The sequence below is a fragment of the Homo sapiens genome, chromosome 21 (genome assembly GCF_000001405.40).
Source record: "Homo sapiens chromosome 21, GRCh38.p14 Primary Assembly".
In the NCBI taxonomy this organism is placed as follows: Eukaryota; Metazoa; Chordata; class Mammalia; order Primates; family Hominidae; genus Homo; species Homo sapiens.
The window spans coordinates 44481967-44504937 of record NC_000021.9 but is presented as its reverse complement, the minus strand read 5'-3'; the positions used below and the strand labels follow the sequence as shown (position 1 = coordinate 44504937).

Sequence of the window (22971 nt, the reverse complement as noted above, 5' to 3'; positions counted from 1 at the left end):
CCCAGTTCCCTGGCGATGTCTGTTGTGTCCTAATATCCACCCACTTGTTCCTGCAGTGCTCTGGACTGGGAGTTTTTCTCGGTGGGAGAAGATTATTTCCTGGTGGTGGCCAACTCCTTCGATGGGCGTACCTTCTCGGTGAACAGTATTATTTACAGGTAATGAGCTGCCGAGGCCGGCCTCCTCCCAGAGCCTTGCTTCCCCACTGTGGGCTCACCGAGGCCGGCCTCCTCCAAGAGACTTGCTTCCCCACTGTGGGCTCACCGAGGCCGGCCTCCTCCAAGAGACTTGCTTCCCCACTGTGGGCTCACCGAGGCCGGCCTCCTCCAAGAGACTTGCTTCCCCACTGTGGGCTCACCGAGGCCGGCCTCCTCCAAGAGACTTGCTTCCCCACTGTGGGCTCACCGAGGCCGGCCTCCTCCCAGAGCCTTGCTTCCCCACTGTGGGCTCACCGAGGCCGGCCTCCTCCAAGAGCCTTGCTTCCCCACTGTGGGCTCACTGAGGCCAGCTTCCTCCCAGAGCCTTGCTTCCCCCGAGGGCTCACCGAGGCCAGCTTCCTCCAAGAGACTTGCTTCCCCCGAGGGCTCACCGAGGCCAGCTTCCTCCCAGTGCCTTGCTTCCCCCTAAGGGCTCACCGAGGCCGGCTTCCTCCCAGAGCCCTGCTTCCCCCTGAGGGCTCACCGAGGCCAGCTACCCCCCGAGGGCTCACCGAGGCCGGCTTCCTCCCAGAGTCTTGCTTCCCCACTGTGGGCTCACCAAGGCCGGCCTCCTCCAAGAGACTTGCTTCCCCACTGTGGGCTCACTGAGGCCGGCTTCCTCCCAGAGCCTTGCTTCCCCACTGTGGGCTCACCAAGGCCAGCTTCCCCCCAAGGGCTCACCGAGGCCAACTTCCTCCCAGAGCCTTGCTTCCTGCTGAGGGCTCACCGAGGCCGGCTTCCTCCCAGAGCCTTGCTTCCCCGCCGAGGGCTCACCAACTCCGGCCTCCTCCCAGAGCCTTGCTTCCCGCCGAGGGCTCACCGAGGCCAGCTTCCTCCCAGCACATTGCTTCCCCCCTGTGGGCTCACCAAGGCCGGCTTCCCCCCAAGGGCTCACCAAGGCCGGCCTCCTCCCAGCGCCTTGCTTCCCCCCGAGGGCTCACCGAGGCCAGCTTCCTCCCAGAGCCTTGCTTCCCCCCGAGGGCTCACCAACTCCGGCCTCCTCCCAGAGCCTTGCTTCCCGCCGAGGGCTCACCGAGGCCGGCTTCCTCCCAGAGCCTTGCTTCCCCGCTGTGGGCTCACCAAGGCCGGCTTCCCCCCAAGGGCTCACCAAGGCCGGCCTCCTCCCAGCGCCTTGCTTCCCCCTGAGGGCTCACCGAGGCCAGCTTCCTCCCAGCACATTGCTTCCCCACTGTGGGCTCACCAAGGCCGGCTTCCCCCCAAGGGCTCACCAAGGCCGGCCTCCTCCCAGAGCCTTTCTTCCCCCCGAGGGCTCACCGAGGCCGGCTTCCTCCCAGAGCCTTGCTTCCCCCCGAGGGCTCACCAACTCCGGCCTCCTCCCAGAGCCTTGCTTCCCGCCGAGGGCTCACCGAGGCCGGCTTCCTCCCAGAGCCTTGCTTCCCCCCGAGGGCTCACCAAGGCCGGCCTCCTCCCAGAGCCTTGCTTCCCCCCGAGGGCTCACCGAGGCCAGCTTCCTCCCAGCACACTGCTTCCCCCCGTGGGCTCACCAAGGCCGGCCTCCTCCCAGCGCCTTGCTTCCCCCCTGTGGGCTCACCAAGGCCGGCTTCCACCCAAGGGCTCACCGAGGCCGGCCTCCTCCCAGAGCCTTGCTTCCCCCCGAGGACTCACCGAGGCCGGCCTCCTCCCAGAGTCTTGCTTCCCCCTGAGGGCTCACCGAGGCCAGCTTCCTCCCAGAGCCTTGCTTCCCCCCGAGGGCTCACCGAGGCCGGCTTCCTCCCAGCACCTTGCTTCCCCACTGTGGGCTCACCGAGGCCAGCTTCCTCCCAGAGCCTTGCTTCCCCGAGGGCTCACTGAGGCCAGCTTCCTCCCAGCGCCTTACTTCCCCGAGGGCTCACCGAGGCCGGCCTCCTCCCAGAGCCTTGCTTCCCCCCAAGGGCTCACCGAGGCCGGCCTCCTCCCAGAGCCTTGCTTCCCCCCGGGGGCTCACCTTCTCTCGCAGGTGCCACCGGCTCACAGCGAGTCCCAAGTCAGGTGTCATTTCCGAGATTGGCTGGGCCCAGTGGATGGCCCGGCGCTGGCTGCACCCGTGTGGGATCTGAGCTGGGGCCCTGCCCCGGGTGTAGCCACAACCCACGAGTGCTGGTGCTTCTGCCTTTGGATTCTGTCAGGGATGCGGCGTGTGGACATCCTAACATGGGAGTTGTTGATATTTAATTTTTCTCTCATAGACACTGTGGTGTTCTCATTTATTTCCAGGAGTTTTCCAAGTATCGTACGTTTAACGAATGGGGTTGGCTTTTTAACTTTCATTTGCAGCTGCTCATCATGACAATCATTTTCTCGCCCCCTAACCAATCAGTTCTAATAGCTTTTCTTAAAAAGATTCTCAGGGGACTTAGGAATGTAATTACCTCTGAGAATAAAGAACATTTCCCCTTGATTTCTAGTGTTCTAATTGATTATGTAGCTTGCTTCCCTAGCTAAAGATTCCAGAACAATCTTGGATGGCGGCAGAAGTGGCAGCTGTCCCACCTTGCTCTAATTTAACGAGCACATCTGAGCATGGCCGTTTGATGGGCTGTGGGCCATCCGGGCCAGGGCTGAGGTCTCCTTTGGCATCTGTGAGTGCGTGGTGCGGTCCACTATGTTTACTGTTGATGTCATGATTTATAGTGAGACATCTCCTCGCGTTATTAGACCCGATGCCACTTGGTGATGATGCAGAATTATTGAATAAGCCACTGGCTTCCAATTGCCTGTCTTTAAGCTTTTAGCATCTATAATAGGAAATTAGATTGCTCGGTGGTTTTCTTTTGGGGACTTAACTTTATCCAGTTTAAAATGAAGCCTAACAGTAAATACACACTGCAGGGCTTTCTAACTGCACCTGTGGACTGGGATAGTCTGAAGAATAGGATTTTTTCTCTCATTTCTGACAGCTGGGTTAAATTCAGTTATAAAGCCATCTGGGCCTGGGTACCTTTTTAATAATATCTCCTTCTTATTTATTTTTTGGGGGGGACAGGGTCTCACTCTGTAGCCCAGGCTGAAGTGCAGTGGCATAACCTCAGCTCATTGCAGGCTGAAATTCCCAGGCTCAAGCAATCCTCCCACCTCAGCCTCCCTAGTCGCTGGGACCACAGGCATGGGCCAACCATGCCTGGCTAATTTTATTTTTTCTTTTTGGAGATGGAGTCTCGCTTTGTCGCCCAAGCTGGAGTGCAGTGGCCCAGTCTCGGCACACTGCAAGCTCCGCCTCCTGGGTTCACGCCATTCTCTTGCTTCAGCCTCCTGAGTAGCTGGGACTACAGGCACCTGCCACCACACCTGGCTAATTGTTTTGTATTTTTTAGTAGAGATGGGGTTTCACTGTGTTAGCCAGGATGGTCTCGATCTCCTGACCTTGTGATCTGCCCGCCTCGGCCTCCCAAAGTGCTGGGATTACAGGCATGAGCCACTGCGCCTAGCCCATGCCTGGCTAATTTTTGTATTTTTAATAGAGATGGGGTTTCACTATGTTGGCCAGGCTGTTCTCGAACTCCTGACCTCAAGTGATCTGCCCGCCTCAGCCTCCCAAAGTGCTGAGATTATAGGCGTAAGCCACCCCGCCCGGCCATAAATGCTATATTTGAAGGCAATGAGAAAAGGATGGGTTTTACTTGATAACTCCATATGATTCGGGAGATTAGCTTCATGTAATCTGGAAGAAAACAAAGCTTACCCCCACTTCACATTGTACACAAAAATAAATGTTATATGGATTAAAAGTCCAAATGTGAAAAAGAAGAAAAGCTGAAGGCAGTTGTATAACCTCAGGGTTCTATGAAGAAGACAAGCCCAGAAGGAAAGGCACTGGGTCGACCACCTGTGTTAAAAGCTTTCTATGGAAACAGACATCCTATTCAAAAGCAAAAGACAAACTCTTTACCACACACACGACAGAAAACCAACCCTTACAAACTAATAAAAAATGTGTCTTTAAATTTGGAAAAATGGACAAAAGATATAAATATGAATTTTTAGAAGAAAAGATGAACAGTGTGAATAAACATTATAAGGGATTTGTCCTCAAAGCAAAACCCTGCCAGGTTCTCCCCCATTTGTTTGGAAGTGTGTTAAAGATGGGCAGTGGAGTGGGTTGGGGGATCCCAGGGGGACCCCACCCTGCCCTTTCCCGTGAGAGCAGAAGCCACCACGGTTTTTCCAGAAAGCAGTCTGGAAGAATTTATTTTCATACTTTATTATTTAATATTAAATGTAAACAACTCGTGCCCTTTGATGTCGGCGCCCTGCCTTGGGGACTCCACGCCTCGGAAATGGAAGCTCCTGGGATAAATGAGTCCTTTTGAAGGCAAACCCTGGCGGCCAGCAGCCGCCCAGAGCAAGAATGAGGGCCTGGGGCAGCCCCTGACGTGGGGCCGCAGAGCAGCGGGCAGAGAGCTGGGCTCCTGTATCTGAGGACGGAGGGGTTCCAGCCTGCGTGGTGGCCTGCGTGTGTTTGAGGGGGGCCCTGGGGAAAGTCACGCACCTCACGATTGAGGCCGACCCTCGGAACTGCACGTTTGGGGGTCCCCGGGGTTAGGATCTTGGGTGGATAGGAGGTAGCGCTGGGATCTTGGTGAGATCTGGAATCTTTCCTCTTCTGGGCCTCAGCCTCCTGCTTTGCAAGATGAGAAGGCCCTCATGGCCCAGAATCGATCTCCCCACGCTGTGCCAGTCGGGGGGATGGAAGAGGCTCAGATGTGACCCAGAGCTGCTGGGTCCCTGACAGCGCGGGTGGGAGCCGGGGGAGAGGAGCTGCCCCGCAGAGCCCAGGCTGACCCGGCTGCCGCTGTCTGTTCCGCAGGTGGCAGGGCTACGAGGGCTTCGTGGCGGTGCACAGCCTCCCCACCGTCGGCTGCAGGGACTGGGAGGCCTTCAGCACCACGGCTGGTGCCTACCTCATCTACTCCAGCGCCAAGGAGCCCCTCTCCAGGGTCCTGCGGCTGAGGACACGCTGAGGCCGCGGCTGCCCGGCAGCAACTGGGGTGGCCAGGTGGGGCGGGACCCCAGCACCTCCCCCAACTGACCCTGGACGTCCAGGTGGGCCCAGCCTAGGGCATCCCGGGCCTGGGCATCAGGCAGGGTGCAGGTGGGGCCATCTGCGGCCCTGGTTCGGGCAGGGACATCCATCCACCTCTGAGTCCTTCTGAGCCACAGCCCCAGTGACGGTCTGGTCTTGCAGGCAGAGGCCCAGAGCCCCTGCCAGTGCTCGCCCATCTGAGTGTCAAGCGGGGATTTCGCTGTCAAGGAACCGTTTCTATACATTTTTACCTCAAACAACAGGACCTCGGTTCATGTCCCTGCGGCTGGCCTCTCGCCAGCCACTCCTGCAGTGTGCGTCCGGCCGCCTGAGCAGGTGTGGTGCCGTCCCGCCATTGCCGCCACCTATTTATTGTGTTTTATCTGAACGGAAGTGTATTTATACTGCTCTTTACAAAAGCACCGGTGCTCCTCTCTAGGCAGCGGGTGGGCACAGCCCCTCACCACGGACACGGACAGAGGACCACCTCCCCATACAGAGAGAGGCTTCCCTCCCAGCCTCAGTTTACCCGTAAATGCACTAGCGCGAGGTCAGAAATCACAAGCCTGGGCATGGCCTGGGTCGCACCCCCTCCCCACGGCCCCACCCACAGGGACCTCAACTTCTGGGCCCGGGATTTTTTCCCTATTCAGCAGCATTTTAATCACATGTCCTCCAGCTGACTGGGACTCAGGCTGCGTGCCTCCGTCTGCCTGTGTGCTGGCTGTCCTAGCTCCCTGGTAACAGCATCCTCTGCTGGCTCTCCTGTGGTCATCTTGTCTCTGCAGCTGGGAGAGCTGCTTGTCTGTCCGTCACAGGCAGTGAGGATGAGAGGGGGTGATGGGCGCAAGGCCCCAGGGGTCCTCCCTCTTAACCCATGTAGGTGCCAGAGAAACCACCCCCACTCCATGAGAAGAGGCTCAGACAGCAGGCTCCGGGGCCACGCAGCCCAGACCACACCTGCCACGGTCTTCCAGGAACGGTGCTCCTGCTTCTGCAACACAAATCGGAACAGGAGCGATCCTCAGAGAGTTTACAATGTGCTTTTTCCGCCAATCAGAACTGTGGACAAAACTTCCTATTTCCTACACCGCAGCTGTCTGTTCACCTTCAGCTCAGAGAGCACTCCTGACCTTTCGTAATGAAATGGAAGCCTCCCCTTGTCTGGCAAATAATAAACTCAGTGTCTACTTTTGCCGGCTTTGGGACCTTCGTGTTTTTCCGGGGCTCAGGTCTCACTCCAGCCATCGCTGTGGCCAGTGGAGAGCCACTCCCCTCTGGGGGCAGTCGCCGAGAGCCTCCTTCCCCTCCGTCCAGCCAGCAAGGCTTTCCCAAGCGTCCTGGGCAGGAGGGTTGGGCCCTGCTTTCCACCAAGTCACTCAGAAGGTCCCAATCACACATGATTGGCCTCATTGGGTCAGCACCTGTGAAAGGAAGATTAAAAACTCGACACCCCAATTCACTCAACCAAGAAGAAAAAAGCTGAAAGCTGAGTCCTGCAGGAAGCTGCCTTTCCCTTTGCCCTAAGCAGACAGCTGCAGATGAGAGGGTCAGCATCTCCACTAGTGGCTGCTCTGTGTGCCCCTTATCTCATGGAAAGTGCCAATTTACTGAGCACGAGATAAACAGGTAACTGACTGTTCCCACCTGCTCCTTTTCTCCTGCAGCATGGAGCAATCAGTCATGTGACCACACCCTCCTCCCTCTGCCCCCTCCAGCCGGCTTTTCCCCTTGACTGAAGCCTTCAACATCATCTTGGGAGAGAGGCACAGACCTGTCTCCTGGGTGCATCCTTAGCCTTGGCAAAATAAACTTCTCCATTGATCGAGGCCTGGGTCGGGTACTTTTTTGGTTTGCAGACTCACCCACATGCTTTTCCAGTTGGGCCTTGCTCTTCTCTTGTTTGAGTAATTTGTTTCTGTTCATGTGAGGCTGACGGTGTCGCAACTGTTCCAACTCCCATCTCTCAGCCAGATCCCTTCATTCCCCAAACTGTTCTAGATCTGGACTTATTTTGGAAATCAGAGCCTGGCTTGAGTGGCTGAAAATCTAAGAACTTCTGGGTAAAGTTACCACTCAGTGTTTGGAGCACAAAACTGAAAGTGTCTGAGCCAGGTCTCAGTCAGCTTAGAGGGTTATGATGCCAAGGTTGAGAATCTGCCCAGGAAAAAGTGGCACCAGTCACAGCAGGACCTGTGGCCAGGCCTTTTCCAGAGAGCATTTTGAGGTGCTGAGTATTTAAAAGAGGAGGAGAGGAGAGGGCAGGGGGAAGGGGGAGAGAGAAGACGGTGGGTGGGCAATGAGGCCAGTGGTCAGGCTCCTGGGAGGCTTTAATTAGCACGCACTGAGTGCACGTTGCAAGTGAAAGGGGGAGGTGGGGGAACAGCCCTTTAGGCACTCACCTGGCACTCAGCAAACCTGCATCTGACGTCAGATAGAGTAGACACAGAAAAGAAGAAAAAGCCAAGCCTGTGTTTTTCTCGAGTGTTTAACCAGAAGTCACGGCTGGAGACACAAAAGCACCTCCTGGCCTATGCAATTTTGTTCCTTTACTGCTTTAAACAAGCAAGATGTGGTTTTATTCCTTTAGTAGCTGGTGGTGTTGGCTCTGTGTCCCTGAACAAAAATAAAAGCAAGCCCTAGTCTTTTGTCCCACACTCGCGAGGATCAGCTGCTCATCGACACTGTCAGAGTGTGGGAGGCCTCCCGGGGAGATACATGGCCGGCCGTCTTGCAAGCTCTCTGTTCAGAAACAGACTGGTTCTCCTGAGAGGCAGGTTTTGCGTGACGCCATTTCCAAGCTTTCCCTTTCCCTTTGGAACAGTGAGTTTGGCATCTCAGGATTCTGTTTGCCTTTCACAGGAGGGAGAAGCTCCAGACGTGGGCTCGCCGCTGTCCTTCCATGCCCCCTCTTGGATGGAATCAGTGGGCCCTGGGGCCCCGCCCACCTCCCCAGTCTTCCCCTGGGGTTGAGAAGAGCACTTTTCTGTCTTGTTAGCCACGATTTCAAGCCAACGTTGCAAAAGCTCTGATTTCCTGGATCGTGGGGAAGCCCGTCTGGGCGCCCCAGCAGCACGTAGTTCAAACACCTCTCCTGGCACCGGGGAGCGGTTCCAGCGTGCCCTTCTGAGAACCTTCTTCAACTGCACTTGCAGTCAGTGTGTTTTCTCTTGTGTAATTGGAATCAGGACCTTTTGAATCCTACCTGCAAATTTATGCAAACAATATGCAAAAACTTGTGACAAAAATTGGCAAAGGAAGACCTTTTGCGGGTGAAGCACAACTGTCACCTAATGGCTCTCAGGGGTGGTTGGGGCGGTGGCGCAGGTGAGAACTGACGTTTGGTCGGGGTCTGTAGCGGTGGTGGGAGGTGTTGGGGTCTTCCTCCTCCCCTGCCCCGCAGTGTGGGAGTAGCCAGTGAAAGTGCAGAGTTGGGGGCTCCCTGTCTCTTCTTCACTGTGGAGGCATCTTCAGAGCTGGGGAGAGGGCGGGATCCCTTAGCCTCCCTTCAGGCTGTTCCTGATGCCACATCTGGTGCTGAGAATGAGTCTGAGAAGCCTCCAGGCCCCCGACCTCCCTATGCCGTCACACCCACATCAAACTATCCTGTGTTAGCATTAACTTCACATTATTGTAATTGTCCCCCTGGGAGGTTAAGCTTTGTGGAGCTTTTCTGTGATCCCTCTCTATCATGGAACCATCGAAACTCTACATCTTAACATCGGAAGGTTCTTTCACGATCATCTGGTCCAATCCCTTTGCTTTCCGCAGAAGGGGACCAACACACAAAGAAGCAGCTGACCCTGGTTCAGCCCTAAACCGGAGCCCTAAATCAGTCACCACCTCTCCAGCTGACACTACTCACTGGATGGAAGGCCTCACAATCTGGGTGCCACTTGAGATATGGTGGGAGCAGAAAATAGTTGTGTTATTTTAAAGGGTCAAGAGTGACTTTGTAAATCCACACCCCTGTCATTCCTAGAAAGCTATGTGGCTTATGGACAGCACCAGCTTCTTACTGTGCTTTTCAAACAGCTGGGCAGTTGGGCAGGACACACTGATTGCTCTTAGACTTGTAAATAACCTCTGGGCTGTCCAGAGCTGTCCCGAACTGTCCCGAGTTCTATCCTGTGGCTGTTTGTAGGCAATGATGAAATTGGGTTGTGGGGAGGAAGAGAAAGAAGAGAGTGGCGGAATGGGCTGTGGGGCCGATGAGATCAACATTTATTGGGCACTATTTCTGACGTTATGCTGAGTGTCACCCAACATTTGCCCCATTTTACAGTTTGAGGAAACTAAGGTTCAGAGAGGTTAAGTAATTTGCCCAAAGTCTCACAGCTAATAAGGAAGAAGACTGAGGTTTCACACTTGAGACTTTCTGATCTCAGAGCCCAAGCTCGTCACCACCATGCTCATGGGGCAACGGTGGGGAGAGAGCCAGGTTTCCAGGAAACCTCTCAATGGCCGTGCAAAAGTTGACCCTCTTACTTCCCGCCGCTTGGATGAGCGGCCTCGATGGTGGAAGAGGGGCCAGCAGAAGAGCAGGGCCATTTCCTGCGTTGGTCAGGATACGCCTCATCTTGCCCACGTCTTCCTGGGGCTGACACATGGGAATTTTTCCAGCAGGCCTGGCCCGAGGGCGCTGGGGCTTTACTTTTGTGCTGGTGCAGGCGGTTCTCAGGCTCAGATAAAATTTCCTTTAGCTGTTTATCCTCCCAACAAGCATTTTGCAAACACCTCTTCTGTCAGTTCTTGAACCACTAAGCATGGTCCCCGACCCAACAAATGGAGCTCCGATTCGGAGATGCAAAACCTGATTCCAGCAAAGCTTCTTGCAGCTTCTCTGGGGCAGTTTTCACAGCTCTTTATCTTCTCCACTTCTCTATTGTTGCTTTACCAACAGGGGCCTCTGCCACCAAGGAGTGGGGAAGACATGCAAAAGGGGCTGTGCGGCACTTGGGCTAAAGATTTTGGGAAGGATGTGGAAGCCGGGGCTAACCAGAGGTTTCGGCGTGACCTGCGAATCTTCCCCTCTCCCCCATCCCTGCGGTGTCGTTTCATCAGACACCGAAGCTGGGCTCATGAGCTAAGGGCCGCAGTTCACTTAAAATTCCGTCCCAGGCCAGGTGCGGTGGCTCACGCCTGTAATCCCCACAATTTGGGAGGCCGAAGCAGAGGATCACGAGGTCAGGAGTTCGAGACCAGCCTGGCCAACACGGTGAAACCCTCTATTAATACAAAAATTAGCCAGGCTTGGTGGTGCACGTCTGTAATCCCAGCTTCTTGGGAGGCTGAGGCAGAAGAGTTGCTTGAACCCAGGAGGTTGAGGCTGCAGTGAGTCGAGATCATGCCATTGCACTCCAGCCTGGATGACGGAGGAAGACCCTGTCTCAAAAAAAAAAAAAAAAAAAAAAAATCCATCCCAGCATCCTCAGCTGGAATAACTGCCAGTTGCCACTGGCTGCCCCAACGGAATTAACAGACGCTGCCACCAGCCCTCCTGACCTCATTGGACAAAGCTGCATCCTCAGCAGGCTGTCTCCATCCTGAGATGGAGTGGGAAGTCCTCTCATGCGGAGTCTGAGCTTCAGACAGGGAAGGATGGGGGCCCTTCCTGTATTCCCATCAGTGTTCACCTAAAAGGAAGAGGCTGAGGCATGAAGTCTAACTTAAAGAGTTGACTTGAGCCAGGGTGAGGACAGCAGCCCAGAAGACTCACACCCACGTACGCCTGGCTGTGAGCTTCCCGGCCATGAGCTTGCTTTCTTTGGCCTTCATTATAGGCAGGTTTTTAAGGCAAAAGAGGGTGACATGGAGCAGGCCGACACAAAGCTGCTTGTCGGGAGTCTCGCTGGCTCACAGAAATAACACTGCTAAGCTACGTGGTGCAGGTTGCAGCATCCGGTGGGCATGATTTGTTAGTTAGTGGCTCCTCATGGTCATCGCACGCAGCTCCTGAAGATGAACACACAGCTCAGAGGGAGAAGGACAGGACTCCTGTCCCCTCTCCACATCTCTCTGTGCCCGATCATGTAAAAGGACTTGTGTTCCTCACAGAACAGTTCTTTTCTCATCAGGAACTCCATTTTCTGCTTTCTTTGTCAGGATGGGGTCCCCTGGAGAGCTGCTTAGAGGGGCAGGAGAATCCCAGGAGGGAAACCTAAAGCATTTGGGCAGGGGCAGCAGCCACACCTATAACCAGCCTTACAGAGCAGGTCACTGGGGCTGAGAGTGGGAGAAGCCAGTTTCAGTCTCACATGGGTATTCTCCAGACAGACCTGGCAGGTCCTGTCCCCAGAGATCAGGGGTTGTAACTGCAGGCAGACAGAAAAGCCATGGAAAGCATTCATCCCTGCAAGAGCTCAGGGCTCACCCTTGGGAGATGCTGAGCAGCAGAAGTGCCTGGAAAATGTGTGTTGAAAGGGTGAAATGAGCAGAGGGTTCCGGGTTTGGCTCTGGTAGAATCAGAGGATGATCTGGGAGGGAGACATAGACCCAAATGGTAACAGGTGCGGGAAGTGAGACTTGAAATCTGAAACATGACATGACCCTGAGAATTTCATTCTAGTGCCTGGCTTCAGGCATAGGGTTGTGGCTGATGGGTGGATGTGTACACACACAGGCAGACACATTTACTGTTGGGAACGGGTGCTCGGTGTTGCAGAAATCAACACTGAGACAAAGGATCTCTCAGCAAGGCTAGTTTACTTTCTGCAGAAAGGGTGCCGCTCGCTAGCAGTCTTGCCACAAGAGCACACACAAAAAAAGACAGGGTCATTTATAACCTGACGCAGCTACCCTACTGCTGTGCCCAGTTTCTATCGGCTGGAATGGGACCTTACATTCTGTTTGTCTCGATTGGCTAGCAACTTAGAACTTCCCAAAAGAGGCAAAGGCAGAGGAGAACAAAGGAAGAGAGGAAGTAACTTGTGGAATGCTGAGAGAGGCAAAAACACTTCCAAATAAGGAAGAGGAAGAGGCTATGACCTAATTCTTGCTTGGACTGGTTCAGGCATGCCAGGGCAAATACCTAGACTAAAATGTGGGAGCTAAGAACAGAGTATATTGATTTCTTTATTACAGCTAGCAGAATTTAAGAATATTAACACAGGTCTTTGAGTAAACTTTGCTTCTAGAAGAGGTTACTATCTATTCTGAATTAGACTGGGAGGAAAGTCCCTTTGAAGAGGAACCTCTATTTCATTTCTACATGTACCTTCTGTCTTGGACTTTGGGAAGATGTTCTCTGGGCTGAAGACTGTCTGCTAGGTGAAAATATCAGGGAAGGTGATCGTTGCTTTTTCTGCCTATCGCCAGGAAGTTGGACTTTCATAAAACTCTAGTGCAGGTTCGCCGCAGCCTGGAGGGACAAGCACTGGGTTTCATTTTACTCAGCCCTGCCAAACTGTGTGCTCTAGGACGAGCCATTCAACTCTTTCAGCTGTGCTATAGGAAGAATCAACACCCATCTTGCAGGACTCATTTAGGGATTAAGAGGGAGAATCACCAGGAAAAGGAGATGTAATCTGTAAAGGGCTGTCACCCCCTTGTGATGGTGACACTGATGTGGTTAACCCCGGGACGGTGGGTCGCATCCTTGCCTAGAGCAGTGGTGTGTACAGGGTCATCCTTCACAGTGAGGAGAGGTACCGACGTCGTCTGATGCTTGACACAACCCGACCCACACACATTATGCACAGATAGCAACACTGAGGGTCTCGGTGACAAATGAGTGGAAGGAACATATGGGGGTGGGGGGCTTTCACAACCTTGAGAGCAAAGGCAAGGCAAGTTATTTCTGTTGAGAAACACAAAGCCAACAACACCAGCAGCGAAAGGAATGCAAACCACATCTTGCTTGTTTAAAGCAGTAAAGGAACAAAACTACATAGGCAAGGAGGTGCTTTTGTGTCCCCAGCCATGACTTCTGGTTAAAAAGTGCACACAAACCTCAGACAGTCAATACACTCACTTCAACGCCTGATGTGGTGTGTTTCCTTAAGAAAAAAAATCCCGGGAGGGGAACAACACTCACTGGGGCCTGTTGGGAGAGGGCTGGGCCAGGGGGCATGGAGAACATTAGGGAAAAGAGCTAATGCATGCTGGTCCTCATGCCTAGTGACAGGGTGACAGGTGCAGCAAACCACCATGGCACACGTTTACCTATGTAACAAACCTGCACATCCTGCACATGTACCCTGGAACTTAAAAATATATATAAAATAATTAAAATTTTAAAAAAGAAAAAAAAATCCTAAGGGCTGGGTGCAGAGGCTCATGCCAGTGATCCCAGCCCTTGGGAGGCTGAGGTGGGAGGACAGCTTGAGCTCAGGAGTTCGAGATCAGCCTGGGCAACAAAGGGAGACCCTGTCTCTCTACACGTATATTTATTTTAAAAAAGAGGAAAAAATCCTAAAAATAAAACAGTGTCACACTTTCTTCAACTTGCTGCCTCTTTGAGCTTTGTTTCTATCCTGTGGAGAAAATCTCTAGACATTACTCATTACGTTTCAGTACCCGTTGGTACTTCCCAGGCACGGAGTGGGAGAGGATAACTGATTTTTCTGAGTGCGTAATCATTCATTTACTCAGTGTTTATTAAGACCAACTGAAAAGAGAAAGGTTCCCTTGTCCCCCTCGCAGGGTGTGCGATGGGGGTGTGGCTTGATTCTTCAGTGCCCTGCTGCCCAAACCTCTAGGGGAGCATACAGACAGGCAGGCTCCAACCCCATAGCCGTGTCTAGGGGTGAATGTTTACAGCTGAAGCCCCAGTGGGCGTGTGTTCCAGGGTGCTCTTTTAGTTTTGCCGTCTGTAGGCAGCTTGTGTTAACCAGGTCAATGAGACCCTCTAGTTATCAAAAGGACAGAGGGCTGTCTGTATCCTGGGTTCTTGCCTGGGTGTACCAGAAGAATCGGATCACACCTGGGCTTGGAGAATCAGTGCGAAGTGTTATTGAGTGGAAGCAGCTCTCAGCTGATGGAGGAGCCAGAAGGGAGATGGTTTTCTCCTGGAGTTGAGCTGCTTAGTGGCCTAGCTCTCCTCCGACTGCCCCGGCCAAACTCCGCCTTGGCCTGCCGCTACGTGGCCTGCCGCTACGTGGCCTGCCGCTACGTGGCCTGCCGCTACGTGGCCTGCCGGCGTGCCAGGGTCTGTGGGTGTGCTCTTCCGCCGGCATGCTCCACTGACGTCCTCTCCATGTCCAGCCGCTTTTCTTCTTCCCTTCCACTGATGTGTTTCTCTCAGCATCCGGCAGCTTCTATCTCTGCCTTGCTAGGGTCTCAGGGTTTTTATAGGCCCAGGATGGGGGCATGGCAGGCCAGGGTGATCTTGGAAAATGCAACATTTGGGTGAGAAGGAGAAAGTGCCTGCCCTCACCTAGGTCCGTGGGGGTGGAGCCCTAGCCAGGGACCACACCCTCTTCTACCCAGCACCTCCCTTCTGTATCATTTAAAGAGATGACACTCTTCCCTTCCCCGCACTCCTGTATCATTTCCCCTCTCTGAAAACGTACATCTAACTGCTATTAGAATATGGACGATGACCTGTCTTAGCTGCTTCCCGCTGACAGGGGGCGTTGTTTTTGAGAAAACGGCAGTCAAATTCCTCCCAGAGGTCTGTCTAAGGGTTCCTAGCAAAGGGGAGTCATTATCTGAGGCTCCAGTTGCCTGTCCACTTGGAGTTTGATGGTTCTAGGCATGAGAGAAAAAAAAAAACCCAGGTTTTATAAGGTTAAGTATGCATGGGTTAAACATGTGTGTTATAAAAAGAAAGAATGTACTCCCAAAGATCACAAAGATAAGAAGTGAAATATACTAACAGCAAAGTTGCACCCTGAGCTGTTTCACCCCTGGTGCAAGAAATTAAACCTTGTACAAGAGCAAATAAACTTTAGAATGAAGTAACTATTCTTGCCATATCTTTAGCAGTTAACAGGTGCACCCTGGGAATTCTGGGGTTTGTGGACGTACACGGTGGCCACTGAAGCTTTTGTCTCTTTCCTGTGTCTCCTCTCACTGTCCTGGGCCTCCGTCTCTATTATAAAAGACTGAGGTGGCCACTTTTAGGAGGTCCTCTAATGTACTATCTGGTCCAATGGCCCAGTTTTTGCAACTTCCTCCTGATGTCAGGAGCCGCCTGAGTAATAAAGTTATGCTTTGGGATTCACTGTCCCTCAACTGAACCAGGAGAGAGAGAGGTGAGCTTTACCAAGGCCTCTCTTAGCCTTTCCTAGAAGGCGATTGGATTTTCATCAAATTCCTGGTTGATCATGGACAACTTGTTCTTAGTCTTACGTAAGCCTTCTATTACGCACACCTGAAAGTGTCTCCTCCGCCCGGCTTCCATCTCATGATTGGGGTCCCATTTACGGTCATTCACTGGTACTGCTTCTCTTCCGGTTGGATAATATTCACCCCCTTTCCTGATGCTACATGTGATGCAAAGCTCATCCCCAAATCTCTCTGCAGCTTGTAGAGTGGCCTGTTTCTCAGTGTCTATCACAGTCTGATTCAAAAGTAACATAACGTCTCTCTCCAGGAGAGTTCAACTATTTGGTTGAAATTCTAGAAAGCCTCTATATACCTATGAGGATCATCTGAAAACTTGCCCAGATCCCCCCTTAATTTACTTTAAGTCCTGTAAGGAGAAGGGGACCTGGACCTTGCTGGCCCAAATTCACCAGGCATCTGTTGGAGGAGCAAGAGTGAGACTGGGGCTTGTTTAGAGTGAGAATTTGTAGGAGGGGCCAAGTGAGAGGCTGAAGCTGGATAGGGAGGTCGGGGTGGACCCAGAGGAGCAGGGCTTGAGGGAGCTGGCCTCTCTTTCCGGGGTGCCTCTAGGACTCGTATCTTTAATTCCCTGGGCTTACCCCTTGCAGCCTTCTCTGAGATGGCAAACAGGAGGGCTGGATGAATCCTACACTGTCGGCAAGGTCTGGATTTCCTTGCAAGGTATAGAAAGGCCCTGCACATACGGGGCCTCAGGCCATCTGTCCTCACATCTACAGAAAAGTCTCAACAGCCGAATGGTATGGAAATGAATGATTCCTTCCTAGGGCCAACCCAGTCCTTCATAATTTGGCCAAACCTTTGTGCAGAGGGCTCTGAGGTGTTTCTCCTGCAGATTCTGAGGGTCAAAGCAGTCCCGATGGTTCAGGGTACACTACAGAGGAGTATAAACTGGGGGTGTTGAAGAGAACTGGAGACAGTGAATAGAGAAGCCCCTCATTCTCTTCCTTCTTTCAGCGAAAACTCAGGGTGTGATGGAGAGAGAAAGCGAGCATGATCCTTTCAGTCTCCACTCCTTATCCCTGAGCCCTGGCGACCTTGGCAGGTGCCAGCCATGGGTACTAATGTGGTATGTACCCATGAAGCAGGGAAAACCTGGAGACTAGGAACGAACCGCCCTTGCCTATGCCTCCCTTTCTCCCTGCTGTCGGCAAACCTTCAGTTCCCTGGGCCTGTTTATGCCATGAAGCATGGCCTCCTTCCATAGGGTGGGGGGTTTAGTCAGCAGGAATTGGTGCTACCCATTTACATTGTGCCTGTTCCCTGGCTTTGGATCCCTCAGACCTGTTTTTTCTTTCTAAGACCTCAGCCTGAAGCTTGGAATCGAGTTTGGGACTGAAAAGATATTTTAGAGGCTGGTTCTATCTGTTGAGAGTGTCTCAAATGTGCCCTGCCAAATTTGCAGCTCTCCGCCAGCAGGGGTCGCTGGTCCTCTGCTAACTTCCCCATCAGAAACAGAGTTGGGAGGGGAGCCCTCTCACTTAGAAAAGGAAAAAAGATACAAAAATCAATTCAAGATGGATTAAAGACTTAAACGTTAGACCTAAAACCATAAAAACCCTAGAAGAAAACCTAGGCCCTACCATTCAGGACATAGGCATGGGCAAGGACTTCATGTCTAAAACACCAAAAGCAATGGCAACAAAAGCCAAAATTGACAAATGGGATCTAATTAAGCTAAAGAGCTTCTGCACAGCAAAAGAAACTACCATCAGAGGGAACAGGCAACCTACAAAATGGGAGAAAATTTTCACAACCTACTCATCTGACAAAGAGCTAATATCCAGAATCTACAATGAACTCAAACAAATGTACAAGAAAAAAACAACCCCATCAAAGAGTGGGCAAAGGACATGAACAGACACTTCTCAAAAGAAGATATTTATGCAGCCAAAAAAACACATGAAAAAATGCTCACCATCACCGACCATCAGAGAAATGCAAATCAAAACCGCAATGAGATACCATCTCACACCAGTTAGAATGGCAATCATTAAAAAGTCAGGAAACAACAGGTGCTGGAGAGGATGTGGAGAAATAGGAACACTTTTACACTGTTGGTGGGACTGTAAACTAGTTCAACCATTGTGGAAGTCAGTGTGGCGATTCCTCAGGGATCTAGAACTGGAAATACCATTTGACCCAGCCATCCCATTACTGGGTATATACCCAAAGGACTATAAATCATGCTGCTATAAAGACACATGCACACGTATGTTTATTGTGGCACTATTCACAATAGCAAAGACTTGGAACCAACCCAAATGTCCAACAATGATAGACTGGATTAAGAAAATGTGGCACATATACACCATGGAATACTATGCAGCCATAAAAAATGATGAGTTCATGTCCTTTGTAGGGACATGGATGAAATTGGAAATCATCATTCTCAGTAAACTATCGCAAGAACAAAAAACCAAACACCACATATTCTCACTCAGGTGGGAACTGAACAATGAGAACACATGGACACAGGAAGGGGAACATCACACTCTGGGGACTGTTGTGGGGTGGGGGGAGGGGGGGATAGCATTGGGAGATATACCTAATGCTAGATGATGAGTTAGTGGGTGCAGTGCACCAGCATGGCACATGTATACATATGTAACTAACCTGCACATTGTGCACATGTACCCTAAAACTTAAAGTATAATAATAATAAAAAAAAGGAAAAAGGAGAAAAACAGTTTAAGGGGCAAAAAGGGGGGAGATTCTGGGGGAAGAACCCCTTGCTTAGTGCAACTGCGTCCCTCTAATTCTTATAACTTTCCCATCCTTTCCCCAGTTCAGACCAGGTTGAATTCCTTGGCCAGGGGAGGAAAGGTTCCCTTGGCACACTTGACCAACGCGCTCCCTGTAGGGTCCCGGCTACCCCCTCGGCTTCCTCCCGCCCGGTTCGTGGCTGTTGGGCTTGGCCTTTGCCTGCCGTGGGCACGCCCAGGTGCCCGAGCTGGGAAGGGGAAGAATAAGGAGAGGTGCCCAGAGCCGTGTGTGCCTGCGGCTCTCGAGGTAGAGGCATACATGGCACCTCTAGGAAAAATTGGTCTGATTTGCACCTTTGGCGGCTGAGCCAAATACTCATTCTACTTAGTAACATTGCCGCAGCCTGTAGCAAAACTCTTAACATTATAAAGGAGATAAGAGCCATTTTTAAACCGTGTGAGAGAGAAAAAAGAGATGAAAGGAAAACAGCCTCTTACCCACAAGAAAGACAGGTGGTAGGGTTTTCGAAGGCAGACATTCACCTTCCGAGATTCCAGATGAGGCCCCAGTTAAAAGAGGAAAAGTTCCTTTGTCCCCCTCGCAGTGTGCGATGGGAGTGTGGCTCACTTCTTCAGTGCCCCGCAGCTCAAACCTCTAGGGGAGCATACACTCAGGCAGGCTCCCACCCCACGGCAGTGCCCAGGGGTGAATGTTTACAGCTGAAGCCTGTGTTCCAGGGTGCCCTTAGTTTTGGCGTCTGTAGGCAGCTTGTGTTAACCAGGTCAATGAGTACCTCAAGTAGAGGTACTTGTGGAAAGGACCGAGGCCTTTCTGTATCCTGGGTTCTTGCCTGGGTGTACCAGAAGAATCGGATCACACGGGGGCTTGGAGAACGAGTGCAAAGTGTTATTGAGTGGAAGCAGCTCTCAGCCGACGGAGGAGCCACAAGGGAGATGGTTTATCTCCTGGAGTTGAGCTGCTTAGTGGCCTAGCTCTCCTCCGACTGCCCCGGCCAAACTCCGCCTGGTCCTGCCGCTCGGTGGCCTGCCGGCGTCTGTGGTGTGCTCTTCCGCCGGCATGCTCCCTTGACGTCCTCTCCACGTCCAGCCGCTTGTTTTCTTCCACTGATGCGTTCCTCTCAGCATCCAGCAGTTTCTGCCTCTGCCCTGCTAGGGTCTCGGGTTTTTATAGGCTCAGAATGGGGGCATGGCGGGCCAGGGTGGTCTTGGAAAATGCAACATTGGGGCAAGAAGGCAGAAGTGCCTGTCCTCACCCAGGTCCGGGGGGGTGGAGCCCTAGCCGGGGACCACGCCCCCCTCTACCCAGCACCTCCCTTCTGTATCATTTAAAGGGACCACACTCTTCCCTTCCCCCGCACTCCCGTATCATTGCCGTGTGCCGCGCTCTCCGCTAGGTGGAGATGACAAAAATGAACCAGAGGCCCTGCCCTTAAGGATCTGTATTTGGGTAGAAAGTGATTTGTTAAGAGAGAGATTACAGATTTGGGATTGGTAAACTATGCCCTGGCTGACAAACAAAAGGGGTTCCCCATGGCTGAGGTGCTCAAATTTAAAACATAACCTGGTGCCCAGGGCTGGGTGAGGGAGTGGCCACGAACTCTGTGTTCTCAGACTCTGTAAACGCACCACAGGGCCCCCCTTTTCACAACGAAGCCCAATCAGTCCCCGTTGTTAGTGCCAAGATAAACTGTAGCCAGAGCGGCCCCCACCCTCCTCCCCGCCCGCACGCCCCCCACGCCCCGCACGCCCCGCACGCCCCGCACGCCCCTCACGCCCGCACGCCCCTCACGCCCCGCACGCCCCTCACGCCCCTCACGCCCCTCACGCCCCTCACGCCCGCACGCCCCTCACGCCCCTCACGCCCCGCACGCCCCTCACGCCCCCGACGCCCCGCACGCCCCTCACGCCCCCCACCACTGTTTGAAAGAAACAGCTAACAAAGACTTCCGGTTCGCGGCTTGGAAACCAACCCATCAGGGCCCAGCTGTACCAACCAATCAGAACTAAGCACGTTTCAATCCTTCATTTGCCTACATGGACCTAATGGGGACCCCAGGGCAGGAGCTTTTTGCTCTAAAACCCGAACTCCTTCTTTGCTCTTTGAACACACCTTCATTTTACACCAAAGTCCGCATCTCCCAGGCTTGTACACTATTCACTGGAATAGTCTGTTTCCTCCAAATTCCTTTTCAGAGACCTTTTTGTTAAGAGTTGAGAAGTAGGAGCAGTTATTTCTAGGAAATCTGTCTGCGGGCCGTAGACTGAGCTGAATGCCTGAAAAGGAAACAGTGGGGGGCAGTACTGGTAGAGGTAAATTTACTAGCGCTAGCAGAGGTAGATTTACTAGTACTAGTAGAGGTAGATTTACTAGCACTCACAGAGGTAGGTTTAACCACATCACAAGTGGTCTTGGATGATGGGCCAGGGATTTGTGACTTAATTAAGCACAGGAGTAATCAAAGCTTTTGAGCAGGGGGCACCAAAATCGTCTGGCTGTAAATAGATCCTGAAATTTGGAATCTCATTTTTGAGAATGAATTTGGAATGTGGGTGGATTCAAGGATGATCTGAGGACGTGTGAAAGGACACAGCCTTGCTGGCCACCCTCCCGATGACGTGTTTGCTGCTTCTCACTCTGACTTCAGTGAGCATGGAGAGCTTCACACACGCACATGGGAAACGGTAATTTTCCCTAACTCATCCCTGTGGCCAGGGCAGCCTCAGACACTTAAGAAATCTAGACAACACTTCTAACTAAAATGCCAAGAGAAATTCTACATGGCTGAAAGCGGGGAGCTAGCCATCCCAGCCCAGAGATGTTTCTTCCTAAGAGGAGGCGCACTGATGCAGAAACCTGTAACATGCTGTGGTGACCGGAAGAACGGAGCCCCCCACCCGCACCTGCTGTGGGGGAGGGTGGTTTGTGGCAGACCACCAAGCTCTGCCAATCTCGGTTCAAGTCTGGGCATTGCCACTAATTTGCTTTGTTCAAAGTCACTTGTCTTCTCTGGGCCCGAGTCTCTGGGTCTGTAAACTGGGAAGAAAGACTGGGTGGTCTCCAAAGTCCCTTTGAGGGCAGCCACTGTGTGGGCTCGTGGGACTGAGTGAGACGGCTGAGAGCGCTGGCGTGTCCAGGCTGACGAGCCCCAGGGTCCTCTCCCCTCCCACTGGTGCCGAGGGAGGCACCGCAACGAGCTGCACTTTTGCTCACAACCCTGGCCCGGTCTCATGGCCTGAGTTCAAGTCCTGGACCTTGTGAGAAACAAACTCACCTGTCCACACCCAGAGAATGGACTCACAACCCAGAGAACAGCGAGAGTGAGACTTTTAATGACAGTCTTGCGAGGTCGGGTGTCCGATGGGAAGGCACGCCCAGCCCGGTTTTGTTGTTGTTGCTGTTGTTTTGAGATGGGGTCTTTCTCTGTCGCCCAGGCTGGAGTGCGGTGGCAGGATCTCGGCTCACTGTAACTCTGCCTCCCGAGTCCAAGTGATCCTCCTGCCTCAGCCTCCTGAGTAGCTGGGATCACAGGCACTCACCACCACGCCTGGCTAATTTTCGTGTTTTCAATAGAGATGGGGTTTTACCAGGTTGGCCAGGCTGGTGTCAAACTCCTGACCCCAAGTGATCCGCCTGCCTCACGTCGGCCTCCTAAAGTGCTGGGATTACAGGCGTGAGCCACTGCACCAGCCTCCAGCATGGTTTTAACAAGCACTTTATCCCTTAGTGTGCAGGTCCCTCCCCCAGTTCCTCATAGGCTGAGCACTATGGGGTCACAGTCTTCCCAGATGTCACCTATTGGTTGTTGGGCAGGGGCTGTAGGTGTCTTTTTAGGGTTGTCTTGCTGCATTTTGTTGCAGCCCACAGTGCATTGCAATCCTAGTTAGCCCTGGGGCTCTTTAAATATTTGACTTATGACCTACGTAGCTGGCAGGCTGATAAGAACAGACAAAGCCAGCTATTTTGCAGACTGGTAAACTTTTATCTTAGACTAAACTTCTTTGGTTCAGGTGAGGGCAACTAAGGGGGATCCCGATAAGCAGGCATCGGCTGTCTGAGCAGGGGCCTGGGATATCCTGTTTCTTCTGTATTTTGCAGACCTAAGCCGATTCAAGGCACTTTGTCTTGGAAATGGACCACCGTAGACATGATCCCCTTCAGCCCTGTTGTAGGTTAGCAATGTGAACTTGGGCAAGTCATTAGCCTCCCTGAACCTCTGTTGCCTTTTCTGAGAAATAAATAAATGAATGTGTCAATGCCCTCCAGCCCGAGAAAAATAGAGGGATAAAAACGAAAAAGTCGAGGGAGCTGGCTTCCCGTAAGTATGACACTATCACTATCACTATCAGGCTAAGCAGGTTCCCTTTGCAAAAGGAAGTAAGAAAAGTTAGATACAGAAAAACAGATTTTGACATACACACTCAAAAGCTAGTGGCATTATACTGTTTTTGACAATAGCTTAGGCCTTTGACTGTTTTATCAGCTATATAACAAAGCACAGCGCTTATTAACCCCAGAAGTGTGGAAAGGAAGAACAAAGGAAGAAGCAGCTGTGTCTCATCTTGAATTGTAAGCCCCATAATCCCCATAATCCTCATGTGTCACAGGAGAGACCAGGTGGAGGTGAATGGATGATGGGGTGGTCCCCCCATGCTGTTTTCATGCACGGGAGAGACCAGGTGGAGGTGACTGGATGGTGGGGTGGTCCCCCCATGCTGTTCCCATGCACGGGAGAGACCAGGT

At 52.5% G+C, this 22971-nt stretch overlaps 1 protein-coding gene and 2 long non-coding RNA genes across 4 annotated transcripts in view, besides 5 other annotated features; 1 reads left to right on the top strand and 2 right to left on the bottom strand.

Annotated features, from left to right (window-relative positions):
• TSPEAR (thrombospondin type laminin G domain and EAR repeats) overlaps positions 1-7045 on the top strand; it is a 213680-nt gene extending 206635 nt beyond the window's left edge. For both annotated transcript variants that reach the window (NM_144991.3, NM_001272037.2), the window contains 2 exons: positions 57-158; positions 5002-7045. In NM_144991.3, coding sequence (NP_659428.2) covers positions 57-158; positions 5002-5155 — 256 coding nt within the window. In that variant the 3' untranslated portion in view covers positions 5156-7045. The remainder of the gene's footprint in view (positions 1-56; positions 159-5001) is intronic.
• Positions 1257-1776: an enhancer, noted in NCBI's record as "H3K27ac-H3K4me1 hESC enhancer chr21:45923045-45923564 (GRCh37/hg19 assembly coordinates)". NCBI's record gives its function as "activates a minimal SCP1, AML or CMV promoter by ChIP-STARR-seq in primed H9 embryonic stem cells {active_cell/tissue: H9 hESC(primed)}" and the evidence as "EXISTENCE:reporter gene assay evidence [ECO:0000049][PMID:30033119]".
• Positions 11588-12787: an enhancer, noted in NCBI's record as "MED14-independent group 3 enhancer chr21:45912034-45913233 (GRCh37/hg19 assembly coordinates)". NCBI's record gives its function as "activates an origin of replication core promoter dependent on BRD2, BRD4, P300/CBP and CDK7 cofactors, and independent of MED14, by STARR-seq in HCT116 cells {active_cell/tissue: HCT116}" and the evidence as "EXISTENCE:reporter gene assay evidence [ECO:0000049][PMID:35650434]".
• Positions 11588-12814: a biological region, named in NCBI's record as "MED14-independent group 3 enhancer GRCh37_chr21:45912034-45913233".
• Positions 12314-12814: an enhancer, noted in NCBI's record as "H3K27ac hESC enhancer chr21:45912007-45912507 (GRCh37/hg19 assembly coordinates)". NCBI's record gives its function as "activates a minimal SCP1, AML or CMV promoter by ChIP-STARR-seq in naive H9 embryonic stem cells {active_cell/tissue: H9 hESC(naive)}" and the evidence as "EXISTENCE:reporter gene assay evidence [ECO:0000049][PMID:30033119]".
• Positions 12815-13315: an enhancer, noted in NCBI's record as "H3K27ac hESC enhancer chr21:45911506-45912006 (GRCh37/hg19 assembly coordinates)". NCBI's record gives its function as "activates a minimal SCP1, AML or CMV promoter by ChIP-STARR-seq in naive H9 embryonic stem cells {active_cell/tissue: H9 hESC(naive)}" and the evidence as "EXISTENCE:reporter gene assay evidence [ECO:0000049][PMID:30033119]".
• LINC02575 (long intergenic non-protein coding RNA 2575) lies at positions 13796-19367 on the bottom strand. Its single transcript, NR_155204.1, has 2 exons — positions 18708-19367; positions 13796-14544 (listed from the first exon to the last, which is right to left on the bottom strand). It is a non-coding gene; the product is annotated as a long intergenic non-protein coding RNA 2575 (long non-coding RNA).
• An 871-nt stretch (positions 19368-20238) lies between these two features.
• LOC124905037 (uncharacterized) lies at positions 20239-21937 on the bottom strand. Its single transcript, XR_007067904.1, has 2 exons — positions 21503-21937; positions 20239-20504 (listed from the first exon to the last, which is right to left on the bottom strand). It is a non-coding gene; the product is annotated as an uncharacterized LOC124905037 (long non-coding RNA).
• Positions 21938-22971: the final 1034 nt, after the last annotated feature.